Below are 19,748 nucleotides of genomic sequence, written 5' to 3'. Positions count from 1 at the left end.
GTGAGGCAGTGCGAGGCGCGCGGGGCACGGAGGGCGGTGGCGGCGGGCTCCTGCGAGAAGCAAGCGGAACTTCCTGAGGTGACTGACGCGGGCCTCGGTTCTGGGCGCAGGGGTGTGGGGCTGGAGGAGTGGCCGCGATCCCCGTCTGCACCCAGGTGCCTCTTTTTTTTCCTGCGCTCCTGGGGGCTCCTTCCAGGTGCTCCAGCAGCTGCCCGGGGATCAGGGCCCGGTCCGCTGGGCGAGGAGCTGGGGCGGGGGCTGTGCGGGGCCTGTCACCCCCGTCTTCTGCAGCTCGGTGTCGACGGCGATTCGGTGGGCTTGTGCGTTTGTTTTGTCAGCGTGCTTAGGTGTCACAGCTGGGTGACCCTCCGAAGGAAGGTTTTGCCGCTGGCGCGTCTGGTGTATCGCGGCCTTGGGGCCGCGGATCCCTGGGGCTTGCCGCTGCCTCTGGGGTTCGCGCGGCCCTGGCGTCGGGGCTGCCTCAGCGCTGGCTGAAGGCCGGCCCGAAGCACCCTTAATTGTGGCCGCGCGCTTCCCTGCTGCTCCTGCTGTTCTCCGCGTCGCGGTGGTGGACTCTGGAGGTGGAGCCTTGCCCGGCGAGACGTTGAGGTAAATATTTAGTTGATCTTCAGAAGATGTGCCATGCTTATTTGCGTCTTCTTACGTACGGAGGGCAGGGAAGAGAGGCTGCCTAGCCTCCTGGTGGCTTGGGTTTGTTTGGATCCATTTATTTTGAATTAAAAACAAATGCTGCTCTATAAAGTGTAATGCATTTTAAACCATTTTATCTTTGGAAAAAAAGATAAAATGGATCCAAATAGATCCACTTTCTTGTTAATTACTTTTCGTTACTGTTGCGGTTTTCTGAGAACTAGCCTAATTGTTTCTGTTTCTCTTTATCATCATCAAACATTGCAGCTACGACTACCTGTCATTTATCCCGCTCTCGGATATCATGTGATATTTGTCTGTGTCTTCTTTTTAAAAACACTGTCGTCATATTTGTGGTCTAATACTTGTTTTCTTCCCCCCTAGGAGGAATCATTATAGATTCTAAAAATATATTTTCCCTTCTCTGTGGACTTGGTATAAAACGTAGCTTTTTTTCTGCTTGGATTTATTTTCTAAAAATCAACACCGTAAACCCATATCAGATACAACAAAATTGGGGTAGTTAAAACCATGAGTTGTGGAAATGAGTTTGTGGAAACATTAAAAAAAATTGGTTATCCCAAAGCTGATAATCTTAATGGAGAAGACTTTGACTGGTTGTTTGAGGGCGTTGAAGATGAATCGTTTCTGAAGTGGTTTTGTGGGAATGTGAATGAACAGAACGTGTTGTCTGAAAGAGAATTGGAAGCTTTTAGCATTCTTCAGAAATCAGGCAAGCCTATTCTAGAAGGGGCGGCATTGGATGAAGCTCTTAAAACGTGTAAAACTTCTGATTTGAAGACACCTAGACTGGATGATAAAGAGCTGGAGAAATTAGAGGATGAGGTTCAAACTCTACTGAAATTAAAGAACCTAAAAATTCAGCGACGTAATAAATGTCAATTGATGGCTTCAGTAACTAGCCACAAATCTCTGAGGTTAAATGCTAAAGAAGAAGAAGCCACTAAAAAGCTGAAGCAGAGTCAAGGAATTCTAAATGCAATGATCACTAAGATCAGTAATGAACTTCAGGCTCTTACTGATGAAGTTACACAATTGATGATGTTCTTCAGACATTCTAATTTAGGTCAAGGGACAAATCCACTGGTATTTTTATCGCAATTTTCCTTGGAAAAATACCTAAGTCAGGAAGAGCAAAGCACAGCAGCATTAACTTTGTATACCAAAAAACAGTTCTTTCAGGGTATACATGAAGTAGTTGAAAGTTCAAATGAAGACAATTTTCAACTTTTAGATATACAGACACCATCTATTTGTGATAATCAAGAAATCCTTGAGGAGAGACGACTAGAGATGGCTAGACTGCAGCTCGCATACATTTGTGCTCAACATCAGTTAATTCACTTAAAAGCAAGTAATTCGAGCATGAAGTCAAGTATAAAATGGGCAGAGGAGAGTCTTCACAGCCTAACCAGCAAGGTAAGCATAAGAAATGAGATTGGATTCACATTGTAATTATTGTTAGGAATAGAGGAGATAATATTGCTGTTAAAGTACTTTAGAATGGTGCATCTGAGAAGAGATTACATTTTATTTTCTTTGTTCAGTGCTTATTTGTGATCTGTGTCAATGTTTCATACAAATAGTTCCATACGTTAATGGAGGGCAGCAATAGTAATTATAATCTCTACCACATTATCTAATTTATTTTAAACAAAAGTGCTTTAATTTGCATTCCGAATTTTAAATTTGTGTAATGCAGATACAGACTGGACTGAGATTTTCTTTTTAAGATGTGGCTAGAAACTAATTGCTTTATTATGGGTATTCTGCCTCGTTTGCTCCAACCAGAGCATAGTGCTAATGAAGTCAGAGGTCCAGGTTCAGTAGACTGAAACTGATTTCTTTTTGAGAATATATGGATAGATGTATTGCAGATGTCTGTCTGCACTCTTGGAGAGCTTGTTTTCTTGGTAATATAACTGCTAGATACTTGAGTAAAAATGTAACTTTTCTGAATCAGAATATCAGCACCAAGTTAGTTTCTATAGCTGACAAAACATTTGAATGATATAGGAAATCCAATAATTACGTAGAAGTGCTAAAATCAACTGGCCAACTAGGACCTATTGAAGTAATTTTAACTTAAGAAAAACTAGTAACATATACTTGGATTCAGTGAATAGTGTCCTATTAATAATGATTCTGATTAAAAGAAGTATAATAAGATCTCTATTTTGGTAGCCGTTACTATATATATGGTAGTAATAGCAGTAAAATTTAGTAATTCATACCCTTGACTTAGTCCACATTTTTCCCTTTTAAACTGTAATTTTTGTTTATATGAATATTAAATTAGTTTTCATTCATTGAGCTTATTATCTGGTCACCTAAAGTGGAAAGTGAAAATAATCTTAAGATGATTTCAAATTTAGGCATACAGTTTGAAATGTAATTGCTTTTCTTTGTATAGGCTGTGGACAAAGAAAATTTGGATGCTAAAATTTCTAGCTTGACCAGTGAGATTATGAAACTTGAAAAAGAGGTCACTCAAATAAAAGACAGAAGTTTACCTGCTGTGGTAAGAGAGAATGCCCAGTTATTGAATATGCCAGTGGTAAAGGGAGATTTTGATCTGCAGATTGCTAAACAAGATTATTATACAGCAAGACAAGAGTTAGTTTTAAATCAATTAATAAAACAAAAGGCATCATTTGAACTTCTACAGTTATCATATGAAATTGAATTAAGAAAGCATCGGGACATATATCGTCAACTTGAAAATTTGGTTCAAGAACTTAGTCAAAGTAACATGATGCTCTACAAGCAATTAGAAATGTTAACAGATCCATCAGTTTCTCAACAGATAAATCCAAGGAATACCATTGATACTAAGGATTATTCTACTCATAGGTACGTATGCTTCATTGTTTCTTTAGTAAATATTTCCTTTTGTTTTTGCGAAATACTAGAGAGAGTTTGAGCTAAAATTTTGGAAGTTTTTAACAATTCTTTGCATTTCACTTTTGGCCTTTCTATTTTTTTTCCATTTTCATATGCCTTTTTTTTTTCATTTTTAGTTTTTTTGCTGCCTTTTCCATTTATGTTAGATCTGAAAATAGCTACTTTATAGCTTAAGTGGATGAGTTGGAGGAATGAATGGGTTTATTCCCCTTTAGGCATCATTATTTATATACCTTATTTTAGATTTGGGGCAGGAAGTTTGAATACAGCTCAGCATAGTAGGTGTTGCTGGGCAGGGGACTGACTGCATTTGGAGAAGGTAGCAGTAGAGAGGGGAGAAGACTTCATTTTTGTGTGTAGTCAGGAGAATCATTGAGAATGAATGCCAGCTCCCAGGCTTCATCTGGATGTCTGAGCAATTGATGGCAGAGGGATACTGAAAATTGGAGGGCTAAAGTAGTCTTAAGACCTCAAAAATCTGTCTCCTACTCCTCATTTTTCTCCAGGACTAGGGTAAAAGCATCTAATCTTTTTGTTTTCTTATTAATAAAATGAGGGGCCTGGATAGGGTTGCCTCATTGCACAATTTCAGGGGGTACCACTGACATTATGATCTATGTGAATGATACCCCTGGAATTGTGTAGTTACATCTATAAGACTAATTGGCAGCTTTGGGATTGAACCAGTTTTAGGAAGTCTGTTACAACTTGATAAAATAACTATTTAAAAAATTCTGAGCAAAAGTTTACTATTATAGCTATTTATGTAACTATTTACATTTTACATTGTTTAAATTTTACATTTATTTTTATATTTTACATGGTTTACAATTTTAGTTTTTCTCTTTTAATCCCACCACAATCCTGTAATATAGGTAGGTTAAGATGTGTAGTAGTTAAGATGTGGAAATAAGTCTCAGAGATTGATTTGCCCTAGCTTTCACATAACAGAAAACTCAGACCTAGATCTAGGTCTTCCGTTTCAAATTCATTGCTTGCTTGCTTGCTTGTTTTTTCCTTCCTTCCCTCCTTCCTTTCCTTCCTTTCCCTTCCTTCCTCTCCCTTTCTCTCTCTTTCTCTCTTCTTTCCCTTCCTTTCCTTCCCTTTCTTTCCTTTTAAGACAAGGTCTCACTCTCTTGCCTAGGTAGGAGTGCAGTGATGTGATGATAGCTCACTGCAACCTCCAGCTCCTGGGCTCAAGTGATCCTCCTGCCTCAACTTCCTGAGTAGTTAGGACTACAGGCACGTGCCACCATGCCTGGCTAATTAAAAAAAAAAAAAATTTGTAGAGATGGGGCTTCAATATGTTGCCAAGTCTGGTCTTGAACTCCTGGGCTCAAGTAACCCTCCCACAATACTGGGATTACAGGCATGAGCCATAGCCTGTTGTTTCTACTACATCATAGTTATATTCTATGAGACATGTGTTTTCTTTGGAGGTTATCTCTGAAGTGCACTTTGAAGTACGTTAGTGGCAGTTAAAGTTAAGAAGAGTTTTATATCTAAAACTTGGATGGTGGGGAAACTGGGAATTCAGTAATAGACTGTTTATCTAATGTAGTAGTTAGAATATATATTTCTGTACTGAAATAGTATTACAGTTAGAATGGTTTCAGTTGCTTGATTTTTGCAGGCACACAAATAATAATAATATTATTATTATAATTATAATTATTATTATTATTATTTGGAGACGGAGTCTCACTCTGTCGCCCAGGCTGGAGTGCAGTGGCGCAATCTGGGTTCACTGCAACCTCTGCCTCCCGAGTTCAAGCAATCCTCCTGCCTCAGCCTCCGGAGTATCTGGGACTATAGGTGCATGCCGCCATGCCCGGCTAACTTTTTTTTTGTATTTTAGTGGAGATGGGGTTTCACCATGTTGCCCAGGCTGGTCTCGAACTCCTGAGCTCAGGCAATCTGCCCGCCTTGGCCTCCCAAAGTGCTAGGATTACAGGCGTGAGCTACTGTACCCGGCCAATATTTTTATAAGTTGTTACTTAGCTATCCCCACAAATGCCCCAATACAGTGGATTGTAATTTTGAAAATGATACTGACTTGATAATTTTTCCCTATAATTTTAATTTTTACATTTCAGGCTTTACCAAGTTTTGGAGGGAGAGAATAAGAAAAAAGAATTGTTTCTAACTCATGGAAACCTTGAGGAAGTGGCTGAGAAATTGAAACAGAATATTTCTTTAGTACAAGATCAGTTGGCAGTATCTGCTCAAGAACATTCTTTCTTTCTGTCCAAACGGAATAAGGATGTGGACATGCTTTGTGATACTTTGTATCAAGGAGGAAATCAGCTTTTGCTTAGTGATCAGGTGGGTATTTGCCATAGTAGTTAAAAATGCTTTTTAAAAAAATGCTTGTTGTAAAAGATATTAAAGAAAATGTTAACATGAGGAAAATATTACCCCAATTTCATTGCCTTAATATAAAGTATATTTCTATATCTCCTAATTTTTGTTCACATATAAATATGTTTTTCAGATAGTTTTGATGAGTGTGCACAGAAATTTAAAAATGTATATAATTTTTCAGACACAAAAGAATATGTAATGTTTATACTAGTGTTAAAAAATAAATAAAACCGCCTCTGTATTTTTTTTTCACTCATCTTAGCAAACACAGGATTGCCTTTATAGCTTTAAAATCCTCTGTGTACACTTAATGGTACATGCTCCTCCTAATATAATTCCTCTCTCATCCTCAAAGAGTGACTACCATGCTTAATTTGTTCATTATTTTCTTGCTTTTATGTATAGTTTTATTACGCACACACATACACACATATATATATATTCCTAGACTGTGTATTTAGTTTTATATGTCGTTGAACTTTATGTGCTGTTATTATACTGGTGGTGGTATACCAAAGGCATGTATATTGAAGGTATGTATCCTTCAATGACTTGCTTGCTTTTTCAATGGCTTAATATGTTTTTGAGACTCACTCATGTTGATACACGTAAAGCTATATAGTTCATTCATAGTTTTCTCTTTTGTATAGTTAGTATTCCATTATATGATATTCCACAATGAAATTATCTGTTAGATTGACAGACATTTAGGTTATTTACAGTTTTTGTTACTATAGATCATACTGCTATGATGGTCTTATATGTCTCACAGCTGCACAATTCCAGTTTCTCCACATCTTTGCCAACACTTGTTATTTCCTGTGGTTTTTAAAACAGTAGCCATCCCAACGGGTGTGAAGTGGTATCTGTGATTTGTTTTTTGAAAGGTCTCCCATTACTGATTTTTGTCTTCTTGATCTATTGAGAATTGTGTAAAAATTTCCACTGCGATGGTGGATTTAAAAATTTCCACTGCGATGGTGGATTTGAAAATTTCTCCACATAGGCTGGGTGCGGTGGCTCACGCCTATAATCCCAGCACTTTGGGAGGCTGAGGCGGGTGGATCACAAGGTCAGGAGTTCAAGACCAGCCTGGCCAAGGTGGTGAAACCCCATCTCTACTAAAAATACAAAAATTAGCCGGGCGTGGTGGCGGGTGACTGTAATCCCAGCTACTTGGGAGGCTGACACAGGAGAATCCCTTGAACCCGGGAGGCAAAGTTTGCAGTGAGTCAAGATCGCGCCACTGCACTCCAGCCTGGGCGACAGAGCAAGACTTGGTGTCAAAAAAGAAGAAAATTTCTCCATGTAGTTGTATATCATTTTTTTCTCTATGTATTTTGAGTCTATTTTATAAGTTATATCCAGGTTTAAAGTTGCAGTGAATAATTATCCTGGTCGTTTTAAATTGCAGTGAATCAAAGCATTTAGCATTACATAATGACTATTCCTGGTGATGCTTTTTCTCTTGATATTGTTTTGTCTAATATTAATATTCCTTTGCCATTTTTCTTTTGCTTAGTAATGTAAGGCATATAGTTTTCTTTTCTTTACACTTTTCCAGTAAGTTTTTGTTATTAGTTAAGTCCTGATTCACGGACCCAGGGTAGGGATCATCATGTACCCAGGTCCCCGTTTACCACCCTGGGAGAAGGATGGAGAACAGAGGAAAGGTGGGGTGGAGCCAGTTCTGATTTTCCCAGGAAACGTGCCTTTGTCCCAGGTCAAGACCAAGGATATGGGGCAGAGGGACTTGCACACATGCCAGTACCATTTGCACACAGAGACATCACCCCCTTTAGCAGTCATTGCCGTCTTGGAGTGGTAGAAGTCCAGGTAGTTTTGCCAGCAGTTCATGTTCTGGTTCTAGTTGACAAAGTGGCTGTCAAATGGGACAGTCCTGTAGTTCTTAATTTTGACCTTCATGTCTTCTGCCATGGTGCTAACTTCTAAAGACCCTCAGCAAAGACCATAGTTTTGTTTTTACTTAGCATGATGAAATAAACATTTTTACTCTCTAAATAGTTTTCTTAACTTTTAATGTTAACTATACTGTCTTGATTTAATTACTGTGCCATCAATTTTGTAGCTGGTTATTGTTACTGGGTATTTTGATAGTCTTCTTTTTTTTCTTTTGTTTGCTCTTGAACAATATCATATGTATCTTTGTGTATATAGCTTTTTGTTGTTGGATACTTTCATCTGGATACATTCTTGGAAATAGGGTCATTGGGGTTTTTTGTGCCAGGGTGGTATATACACTTTTTTTTGCCTTTGATATGGCCAGATTGCTTTTTAAAGGAGTTTATAATGCTACCAGCACTATATAAGTGTCTACTAGACACCATTGACCATATGGCACGCCATCATTTTATGAATTGCCAAAAAAGAAAAACTCTTAGTTAAACCAACACAATGTTTTCTTATTAAGAATTTTTGTTTTTCATACTTACTAGAAAAGATCTTTTTAGATGTAGGTAGACATAGATTTTTATCATACCACTCTTGGGCATATGTTAAAAGGAAAAAAATAAGTCAATTTAAATGGTTAGGGTAGTTCTAAAGCATCACATTTCAATGTTCAATTCTTCTGTTATTTTTTGACTCAGAGTTGTCTGTAATTTTCCACACTGTGTATCAGGAATGTTGATGAGAAAGTATTTCTTAAGAGTACCTGGCCAGAAACAATCATATGATGTTCTTGATTAAGATGCATCTTCATTTCAGATATGTTAAAATGTGAAAAAAAAATGCATCCAAGAATCACTAAAATATGGTAATCTCACTCTAATCTTATCAGTGGGTATCATTAGTGTTTTTCCCTAGCTCAATGTGATATAAAATGCCGTATCAATTTTAACTTGTGTTTCTATTATTAATGAAGCTGAACTTCAGTATCTGTAGCAATGTTGTTTTAGCAACTGTATGATCTTTAGTATTTAATTGAAGGTAAAGATGAGATTGTTGTTTCTCAGTATATTCAAGTTTACCAAGTTTGTCTTAGAGGATATCACTAAATGTAGATATAATGTCGAAATTACTTGATTTTCAAAAGTATGTATTTTAAGAAGTACTCCTCTGTGAATTGGCATTTATGACAGGTCTTAAGTAGTCATTCTTGAACTTGTACATTAGAATCATCAGGGAGCGTATCAAAACGCAGGTTCCTAGCTCTGTACAGAGATTAAGTAATTTAGTCTAGTGGGGGGGTACAGGAATCTGTATTCATAACAAGTACCTCAGATAATTATGATACTTGTGGACTATGCCTAGAAGCTGTGGAAAATTGAGGGTAGTTAGAGCAACAGATTTTTCTGAGAACCTCTTTGGTGATACTGGCTAAAATTTATAAGTAGAATGCTTGATTAGAAAGCTATGGAAACTTGTTAATAATCTGGTTTAAATGCTAGACACTGAGGAATTTGAATTTACTGTAATAAATATGAAGGGTCGGCATGGCTAGATTCTTGAGCAGGAAAATTATATGATTAGGATGGTTTTCGTGGAATGTCATGTGTAATTCTATTTGGTAAGACAATATGAAAAAATGAAAAATGGAGATTTGTGTTGAGCTAATTCTCTTTTATTGGTCTTCATTTCAACTTTCTCTGTACCTTCTGTCCAGAATAAACAGAGAATAGGCTAAAACAAGGTTTGATTTATTAAGCAGAATATAAGCTCCATCAGGGAGATTTTGTTTATTCTTGTATCAGTAATCTCTAAAACAGTACTTGGCACAATAGCATTTGTTGAATATATGAATGCACAGAACAGCTTACATATCGAGTACACTTCAGCAAGAGTTTCCTTTGAATCACTTAAAATTATCTATCAGAAGTTGTTGCAATTAATCTTACTTAGAATTTATATTAAACCTGTTATGGATTTTAAATCGAGGTTTATTTATTGCTAAAATTGCGGGAAGTTATTAAGTCCTTTAAAGTCTTTCCATGTAAATTATATTTTAATTTTATAATTGGTATTAGGAATAAAGTGTTTTAATTTTTATTTTTATTTTCCTTTTTTAGGAGTTAACAGAGCAGTTTCATAAAGTTGAATCTCAACTGAATAAGCTAAATCATCTCCTCACTGATATTCTTGCTGATGTGAAGACAAAAAGAAAAACTTTGGCAAATAATAAATTACATCAAATGGAAAGAGAATTCTATGTATATTTTTTAAAAGATGAAGATTATCTGAAAGATATTGTGGAGAATTTAGAAACTCAATCAAAGATTAAGGCTGTTAGTCTTGAAGATTGAAAATTACTGAAAACTGAATCTTTATTACGTGTCCTCTTTTATTTATTAGAAGACTGTGTATAATAAACACTACTAAATTTTTAAAATTTGAGGTCAATGGAACATTTAATTTGATGAATTGAACTATTATATTAATTTGTCTTTTTTCTCATGTAGTACATTCAGAATACCAGTGCTTTTTATGACTTGAGCATGTGTTTAGTGGTACTTAGTCCTGGTAATTTTTTACTTACAGGGAAAAAGCATTATTACATAATGCAAATATTTTTTAATATAGTTATCTCTCTCCTTTTTAGAAATAGAAATTTTCTGCCGTTAAATTTTTTTTTGAGATAGAGTCTCACTCTGTCTCCAGGCTGGAATGCAGTGGCACGATCTTGGCTCACTGCAACCTCTGCCTCCCGGGTTCAAGTGATTCTCCTGCCTCAGCCTCCCAAGTAGCTGGGACTACAGGCGCACACCGCCACACCCAGCTAATTTTTTTGTATTTTAGTAGAAAAGGGGTTTCACCATGTTGGCCAGGATGGTCTCAATCTCTTGACCTCTTGATCCCCTCTCCCGGCCTCCCAAAGTGCCGGAATTACAGGCATGAGCCACCACGCTCAGCCGCTATTAAATATTTTAAAATGTGTAGAACTTCTAGTCAGCATTTTTAAATCTGTAGACCTTAATATGTGAAATAGCCAAGTCCCCTCATGTTTGACTGTCAAATAAAATTCTGCTGCTCAAATTGTATTCCTCCATAATTCCCTGCTATAGACCTTTAGGCTGTTTTAATGTCCCTACTTGTACCACAGAGTATTAGGACTTCCTTGGCCTGCCTGCATTCATTTTAGAGTCTGAATTCTGGGGACTCAAAAGTTTCTACAAGACAGCTGAGCAGTGCTTTGACTTTAATGTGACTTACACATCATAAATGACTTTCAAATGAAATTTGAATTTCAAAATTCTGTAAAAGTGGTTGCTCAAAAGATGTATGATACTATTTTAATCAGTTTAAGAGCAAAAATGTCTAATTGTATTTAACAATGGTATTTGGGCAGCCAGAAAATATTTTAAGCGTTGCTCTAAAATAATTTGAAGTAGCTCATCTGTTATTACATCAGATGCTTCTTGAGTGCCCAATTTATACATGGCCTGTGGTAAATACCATGTGAGCTTTGTAGGAATACCTTTAAGAATATTCCTCACCTGTTCGTAATATGGAATGCCAATCTAAAAACTACATGTTTTGGGTGGTCTTTATGGAATTTTTTAGCTATAACCATCAGAAAACAGGCATACCTAGATGACAGATGAACCTTCTTGATTTTTGAAACCCATTGAACAAAAATATTTTGCCAATTATTGTGTTTATGTTATTTAAAATTTTATGTAAACCTTAATTTTGTAGCAGTAAATTTTGTTTAAGATTTTGCTATCAGCTCCCTATCACCTGAGCAACTTTTTTTTTGTTGTATATGTTTTTTTCTATTCTATTTCGGAATAGAGAATTTACTTAAAATTTTTATTTTCTCCAAAAATGTGGAAAATATGTCACCTGGTTTCCTGGTTTATGGTAGCATATTCTGTTTAAATTAGTGTCACATATTTAGATGTGTGGCCAGACGCTTGATTTATTAGTTAATTTTTGAGACAGAGTCTAACTGTGTCACTCAGGCTGGAGTTCAGTGGAATGATCTCGGCTCACTGCAACCTCCGCCTCCCAGGTTCAAGTGATTCTCCTGCTTCAGCCTCCTGAGTAGATGGGATTGTAGGCGTGCACCACTGCACCTGGCTAATTTTTGTATTTTCAGTAGAGACGGGGTTTCACCATGTTGGTCAGGCTGGTCTCAAACTCCTGACCTCAAGTGATCTACCCGCCTTGGCCTTCCATAGTGCTGGCATTACAGGTGTAAGCCACCATGCCCCTGCCCAGATGCTTGATTTATACTGTCCCCACCCAAACCTTGACTTGCTCAGCCCAGGGGGCCAGCAGGGCAGATCAAGGCACGGATGGTAGTTGTGTGTCTGCCGTAATTACCCAAGTTACTTATAATCGTTGTGTTACTAGGTAGGTTTATTTGAAGATTTATTTATTTATTTATTTATTTTTTATTTTTTGAGACGGAGTTTCACTCTTGTTGCCCAGGCTGGAGTGCAGTGGCATGATCTCAGCTCACTGCAACCTCTGCCTTCTGGGTTCACGTGATTCTCCTGCCTCAGGCCTCCCGAGTAGCTGGGATTACAGGTGCCACCATGCCTGGTTAATTTTTTGTATTTTTAGTAGAGACGGGGTTTCATCATGTTGGCCAGGTTGGTCTCGAACTCCTGACCTCAGGTGATCCACCCGCCTCAGTCTACCAAAGTGCAGGGATCACAGGCATGAGCTTCCGCGCTCAGCCTATTTGAAGATTTAATAACATTTTTCAAACCTCAGGATGTATTTGAGTAGATTGCTTCTAAATTGGTCACCTAGAAAATAAGTTATCTATTTACTATGATACCTGGATTAAGCCTCTAGCTATTTTGCTTTTTTCTTTCTATCTATATTATTGGATGATTGATGCCTATTTTCTGTGGTTATGAATATAGACATTTTAAATGAAAGTTGGTATATAAATTTTTGAAAATAATTGTATTTCCTGTTTTATAGTCTTAGGATTAATATATGGGATTTATCTTATGTTAATCTTACATTTAGGATTTTGTGAAAATGGAAAATTATGAGGCATTGGTAGGCTTTGATCTCTGTAATACACCGCTCTCCAGTGTTGCTCAGAAGATTATGTCTGCTATGCATTCAGGTGATTTAGTGGATTCTAAGACTTGGGGAAAGAGTACAGAGAGTAAGTAATTTTTATGAACCTTTCTTTCTCTTGATACTTTGAATGTTAATTGTTCTAAAGACTAAGAATTGAAAATGGAATGCATGTAGACAGATGAAGCCCAGCTCCCGCCCCTTTTACACTCATTCAGTGCAGACTGAGCTTCTGCTTGCTAACTTTCGTGTTCCCTTAACCTTCATTGCTTTAAAAATGTAACACTCTCTTCCTTATTCCAGGTATTTCTGTCAAACATTCCCTTAGAATCTGGATCAGGTATTTTAGTATTTTCAAAAGAGATGCTTTAATCTTGGTTCTCAGGTCATCAAACCTGTACATAGTATTTGCTATTTTGTGTGGTGAACAAGAGATATGTTTTTGACAATATGTGTATTGTGCTGCTATAGAAATGTAAACTCTTAGGTGGCAAGGATTATTGGATCAGTGTATATGGATTTATGATGTGGTATAATAGTAAAAGCAGTGGGGCCGGGTGCGGTGGCTCACGCCTGTAATCCCAGCACTTTGGGAGGCCGAGGTCGGCGATCATGAGGTCAGGAGATCGAGACCATCCTGGCTAACACGGTAAAACACTGTCTCTACTAAAAATACAAAAAATTAGCTGGGAGTGGTGGTAGGCGCCTGTAGTCCAGCTACTTGGGAGGCTGAGGCAGGAGAATGGCATGAACCCAGGAGGCGGGGCTTGCAGTGAGCTGAGGTCTCCAGCGTGGGCGACAGAGTGAGACTCTATCTCAAAAAAAAAAAAAAAAAAAAGTGAAAGCAGTGATATGCTCACAAATGTCACTGAAATGTTTATAACATCAGGGCTTTTGGTGTTTTTTTGTTTTGTTTTTTGTTGGTGTTTTTTTTTTTTTTTTGCTACTAGCAAAGCAGTTTTTATTTTAAATTTGCAAGCCTGGGCCAATAGTTTGTGGTTGGTTTCTCTTTCTACAAAATAAGGTATAAGTGAGTGAGATATAATTGAGTAATGAAATTGCATTGAAATAATTGAGAGTATTGCCGAATATTAGCACAAAAGCTCTTATAAACACATCTTGATTAAGATACATTTGCACTTAACGTTTTGATCCATTCATATTGAGGCATCTGTTGCTTATATACTTTATTATAGTAGAAGTCACTAATAAACTGGTAAGAATTTTTGAGTGTGAATTACATGCCTAGCAATTGATAGTGTAAGACACTATCATAATCACATTATTCCATATTTTTTTGAATAATAGAGGGTGCATACTTGACAGAGGTGGAAATATACTCCCCTTCAAAAACCGGTAAGAATAATGAAATGCCTCTGGCAGCTATAATATGAGGCTCTGATGAAAAATTTACGACAGTCAGTCCATCTCATATAAGCTCTTATTGTTGTTCTAAAATACATTGTTAATGCCTGGGACGATCACTTGAGCCCAGGAGTTCGAGTCCAGCCTAGGCAACATAGCAAGATCTCATCTCTGAAAATAAAATACCCCGTTAAAATTCTGGCTTTTGTTTGTTAAGGTTATTGAGAAGGTAATAGAAAAAGATATGATACTACTTTTCTCTCTTGGATTTGTAAAAATAGTGGAATTTTCATAAGGATTTTGTATTTTCTATTGCTGTATAACATTATTAATACAAACTTATTGGCTTAAAAAACACAATTATTGTTGTACAGTTTCTGTGCGTCAGGAGCCTGGACCTGACTCTGCTAGGTCCTCTGCAAGGGTGGACTCCAGGTGTCAGCCAGGTCTGGTGTCTCTCCTGAGGCTGCAGTGGGGAAGCATTCTCTTCTAAGCTCACATGGTTGTTGACAGAATTCAGTTTCTTGTAGACTTTCAGACCAAGGGTCTCAGTTTCTCACTGGCTGGTGTCTGGAAGGCATCCCCAGTTCCTGTCATGTGATCCTCTATGTGGGCAACCTACAATATGGCAGCTCACTTTCCCTAGCAGCACTGACATTACAGTTTTATATAATGTGATCAAATACATGCTGCTGCCTTTGGTGTGTTCTGTTGGTTAGAAGCTAATCAATAGTCCCATTCACCCTCAAAGCGGTTTGGGGTTATGTGAGGACATGATACCAAGAGGCAGGGATCATAGGGCCACCTTGGAGTCTTTCCACCACAGATTCTCACCAGTTTTATTCCTTCATCATATGAATCCAAATTAAAGTTGGATTGCTGGTGGATTATTGATGAGTGATGCTGGACCTAAAGTTTTAATTGACTCTGGATTCTTGTGAAATACTGAGCTGTTATGTCAAATTCTTCTAAGAAAAATATTGTAAATTAGCCTTTTATTTCCATGAGCCTATTTCATACCAAATAAATATGGAATTTCAACTCAGAAATTAATGGAAATAAACTACACATATTTACTTTTACAAACACTAAGTCACACCAAACTGTATTAAACCTGTGATACTTGTCATTTTGGGGTCTAATTTTCTTATCTGCTAGACTGACTGAGGTGACTCAAGATACACATTCAGTAAAGATTGGACTGTTATATCTTCTTGAAACAAGTATAGATCCTTATTTAGAAACACTTTGTCATGAAAAACACTAAAAATGCAAAACACATTAATGTAAGAGAACATCCATGTAACTACCACTTACATTGCCAACACCTCAAAATTTACTTCTCAATTAAAATCTCTCCCTGCTGAAATGTAACCATTAATTATCCTGCCTTTTATGGCAACCACTTCATAATCATGGGCATTTTAAATTATTCCAGATAACTTTTTGGCAGCGATTACTCATTTCTTACCACGTTGAATCCATCCTTGTTTTCTGAGGCACACAATTACACTACATGGCTCAGTCTTGTTGCAGTCAGGTTTGACCAAGTGGCCAGGTGCCTGTCAGTGAGTTGTGAGCTCAGCGGGTGCCATTTCCAAGGGAGGCTCCAAGACAGCCTGCCTGCTTCTCTGGCCTCTTTGCTTCCCATCGGTTGGAGCTGAAATGATTCTTCTCCAACCCTGCAAATGATAACAGTGTCCTAGAGGATTGTGGAACAACATGCTAGAAGGATCCTGGGCCCCTGAGTGACTTTAAAAAACAGCTATACCACCTACTGAGACCATTCACCTCAGAACATGGGAGAGAGATAAACTTACTTTTTTTTTTTTCGAGACAGGGTCTTGCTCTGTCGCCCAGGCTGGAGTTCACAGGTCATTGCAGCCTGAACCTCCCAGGTTCAAGCAATCTTCCCACCTCAGCCTCCTGAGTAGCTGGGACTACAGGCACTTGCTACTGTGTCTGGCTAATTTTTTATTTTTGTGTGGAGACGAGGTCTTGCTATGTTGCCCAGGCTGGTCTCAAACTCCTGGGCTCACACGATTCTCCTGCCTCAGCCTCTGAAAGTGCTGGGATTACAGACATGAGCTACTGTGCCTGCCTGGCCTACTATTTTTTTTTAGTATTATAAATTTTTTCCACAACATTTTTGGGGCGTCTTTTTGTAATACATTAGGAAAAGTGTTTGTTTTTTTTTTTAGAAAAAACAAACAAAAAACTAAAATCTGTAATTCCACACAATTTTCTTTTCTTTTCTTTCTTTTTTTTGAGTTGGAGTCTTGCTCTGTCACCCAAGCTGGAGTACAGTGGTGCGATCTCGGCTCACTGCAACCCCCCCTCCTGGGTTCAAGGGATTCTCCTGCCACAGCCTCCTGAGTAGCCAGTATTACAGGCGCCCACCACCATGCCTGGCTAATTTTTGTATTTTTAGTAGAGACGGGGTTTCGCCATGTTGGTTAGGTTGGTCTTAAACTCCTGACCTCAAGTGATCCACCCACCTCGGCTTCCCAAAGACATTTTTCTTAAATTTTTTTTTACATATTTATATACATGCATACATACATAGTTTTAATATAAAATTGTGAGAAGGTTCAAGGTTTTTTTTGCTTGTCGAACCCTCTCCCTTATTGTTAACCCATGTTAACAACTTAGTATGTGCCTTTTATATTTTTGTTAATTTTTTTCTATGATTATAATTTATATGGTTGGAGAGTCATGTGTTGCATAATGAATGATGTTTTGGTCAACGACAGACCGTATATATGTTGGTGGTCCCATAAGATTATAATGGAGCTGAAAAATTCCTGTCTCCTAGTGACATCATAGCTGTACTGTTATCATAGCACAATGCATTACATTTTTTTTTTTCCCAAGACAGAGTTTCACTCTTGTCACCCAGGCTGGAGTGCAGTGGTGCAATCTCGGCTCACTGCAACCTCCACCTCCCAGTTCAAGTGATTTTCCTGTCTCAGCCTCCTGAGTAGCTGGCATTACAGGTGCCTGCCACCACGCCTGGCTAATTTTTGTATTTTTAGTGGAGGCAGGGTTTCACCATGTTGGCCAGGCTGATCTTGAACTCCTGACCTCAGGTGATCCTCCCACCTCGGCCTCCCAAAGTGCTGAGATTACAGGCATGAGCCACCGCACCCAGCTGCATTATGTTTTTGTTGTGATGCTGGCGTAAACAAACCTACTGCACTACCAGGTGTATAAAAGTATAGCACTCTGTATATAGTATATAGCTATGTCATACAGTCAACTTACACAAACCTAGATGGCATAGCCTACTACACTGTACTATACTACGTATAATTGTATATACAATTATATGTAGTACAGAGTACTTGAAAACAAATGACTGTGTTACTGGTTTATATATTTACGATACTATATATACTTTTTATCATTATTTTAGGGTATACTCCTTCTTATGAAAAAAAAGCTAATTGTAAAACAGCTCCAGGCAGGTCCTTCAGGAGGTATCCAGAAGAAGGTACTCTTATCATAGGAAGTGACAGCTCCATATGTATTAGTGCCTCTGAAGACCTTCCAGGGGGACAAGATACAGAAGTAGAAGACAGTGATACTAATGCTCTTTACCCTGTGTAGGCCTAGGCTAATGTGTGTGTGTGTCTTAGTTTTAAGAAAGTTAAGAACATTTTTTAAAAAGTTAAATATCTTAATAGAGAAAAGGTTATGGAATCAAGATATGAAGAAAAAATATTTTTGTTCAGCTGTACAATGTGTTTTTGTCTTAAGGTAAATGTTATAAAAGAGTTCAAAAGTTTAAAAAATTTAAAAGTGTATAAAGTAAAAAACGTTAAAGTACATTGAGGTTAATTTATTATTGAAGAAAGAAAATTTTTAAAAATAAATTTAGTGTGTCCTAAGTGTATAGTGTTTGTGAAGTCTACATCAGTGTACAGTAATGCACTAAGGTTTCACACTTACTCCCCACTCACTGATTCACCCAGAGCAAATGCCAAGTCCTGCAAGCTCCATTTATGGTAAGTGCCCTATATAAGTACCATTTTTTAATCTTTTATACTGTATTTTTACCTATGTTTAGATACACAAATACTTACTGTTGTGTTACAGTTGCCTACAGTATTCAGTGCAGTAACATGCTGTACAGCTTTGTAGCCTAGTACATGCTGTACAGGTTTGAGCTACAGGCTAGATCATACAGCTTAGGAGTGTAGTAAGCTATGCCATCTAGGTTTGTGTAAGTTCACTATATGACAGCAGTCCCCAACCTTTTGGCGCCAGGGACTGGTTTCATGGAAGACAATTTTTCCACGGGATGGGGGTCGGGTGGATGCTTTTGGGATGAAACTGTTCCACCTAAGATCGTCAGGCGGTAGATTCTCATAAGGAGCTCGCAACCTATTATCCCTTGCATGTGCAGTTCACAGTACAGTTCTTGCTCCTATGAGAATCTAATGCTGCTGCCTATCTGACAGGAGGCGGAACTCAGGTGGGAATGCTCACTCACCTGCTGCTCTCCTCCTGCTGTGTGGCCTTGTTCCTAGCAGACTACAGACAGGTACTGGTCCTCACTTCAGGGGTTGGGGACCCTTGATCTATGATGTTTTCATAACAATGAAATCACCTAATGATGCATTTCTCAGAACATATCCCTGCATGACTGTAATTATGGCTTGTATATATCTGTGCCAACCCAACCCCCCTCGTCAGGTGGCATTGGCTGAGGCATTTCTTGCAATGTATCACATTTCAGCTTCCCCAGGCTCCATTCTTCTGATCTCCAAGGCCACTCCCCAGTAAACTTTCTGCTGACAAATCTCAGTCTCAGGGAACCTGATCTGCTACAGTTGGTGGCAGGAGTGGTCTGAGAAAGTAGACATGTGATTTTGGAGTTTGGTCTCCCGCAGGTAAGCTGGCACTGATGACCTCATCACAAGTTGTGGGTGCAATACAGATGGTAGCAGTGGAGTTAAAATTTTGGCTCAAGGTGGGTTTGTCTGGCTTACTAGTGGGAGCAGCTGCACCAGCTGGGACAATACTGCACATCTGAGAAGTACAAGGCAGTTGAAGACAATGGAATTGGATGGCTGTGGCTGGGAATAATAGATCCTGTGGAAAAATAAAAAAAAAAAAAAAAAGGCCGTGGGTGATAAGCAATTAAAGGCTAAACGTGAAAGCCAGAGGGCTTCCTGGGCAGCCTATAAAGTGACAGCCTGTAGCCGTAGACCCAAGACTTAGTCCTGATTGCTCCAGAGAAACTTGAATTTTCAGCCCTGGTGGTGTGCTAGGGGTTTTTGTTTTGTTTTGTTTTTTGTTTTTTGGTGATACCTAGGCTGGAGGTCTGATCAGGCTCACTTTAACCTCCGCCTCCGGACCTCAGGTGATTCTTCTGAGTAGCTGAGACTACAGGTGTGCATGCCCGGCTAGTTTTTTTTTTGTTTGTTTGTTTTTTA

General features: G+C 38.3%; 2 protein-coding genes and 1 pseudogene across 3 annotated transcripts in view, besides 2 other annotated features; 2 read left to right on the top strand and 1 right to left on the bottom strand.

Moving 5' to 3' along the window:
* HAUS3 (HAUS augmin like complex subunit 3) lies at positions 8-13,780 on the top strand. Of its 2 annotated transcripts, NM_001303143.2 has the most exons (6): positions 8-78; positions 339-609; positions 1,036-2,091; positions 3,086-3,525; positions 5,673-5,901; positions 9,969-13,780. In NM_001303143.2, the coding sequence occupies exons 3-6, from the start codon at positions 1,183-1,185 to the stop codon at positions 10,200-10,202; spliced, it is 1,812 nt and encodes a 603-aa protein (NP_001290072.1). In that variant the 5' UTR covers positions 8-78; positions 339-609; positions 1,036-1,182; the 3' UTR covers positions 10,203-13,780. The 2 variants fall into 2 exon arrangements, with proteins under 2 accessions (NP_001290072.1, NP_078787.2); NM_024511.7 differs by lacking the exon at positions 339-609.
* Positions 8-19,748, top strand: part of POLN (DNA polymerase nu) — a 170,204-nt gene continuing 150,463 nt past the window's right edge. The window contains exons 1-3 of the mRNA NM_181808.4: positions 8-78; positions 339-609; positions 12,886-13,030. Coding sequence (NP_861524.2) covers positions 12,898-13,030 — 133 coding nt within the window. The 5' untranslated portion in view covers positions 8-78; positions 339-609; positions 12,886-12,897. The remainder of the gene's footprint in view (positions 79-338; positions 610-12,885; positions 13,031-19,748) is intronic.
* On the bottom strand, positions 220-7,878 carry COX6B1P5 (cytochrome c oxidase subunit 6B1 pseudogene 5; annotated as a pseudogene).
* Positions 324-825: an enhancer, noted in NCBI's record as "H3K27ac hESC enhancer chr4:2243031-2243532 (GRCh37/hg19 assembly coordinates)". NCBI's record gives its function as "activates a minimal SCP1, AML or CMV promoter by ChIP-STARR-seq in naive H9 embryonic stem cells {active_cell/tissue: H9 hESC(naive)}" and the evidence as "EXISTENCE:reporter gene assay evidence [ECO:0000049][PMID:30033119]".
* Positions 618-717: an enhancer, noted in NCBI's record as "active region_21165". NCBI's record gives its function as "activates an Ori minimal core promoter by ATAC-STARR-seq in GM12878 lymphoblastoid cells {active_cell/tissue: GM12878}" and the evidence as "EXISTENCE:reporter gene assay evidence [ECO:0000049][PMID:35858748]".

The sequence above is a fragment of the Homo sapiens genome, chromosome 4 (genome assembly GCF_000001405.40).
Source record: "Homo sapiens chromosome 4, GRCh38.p14 Primary Assembly".
NCBI lineage: Eukaryota > Metazoa > Chordata > Mammalia > Primates > Hominidae > Homo > Homo sapiens.
This window is presented reverse-complemented; position numbering and strand designations above follow the sequence as displayed.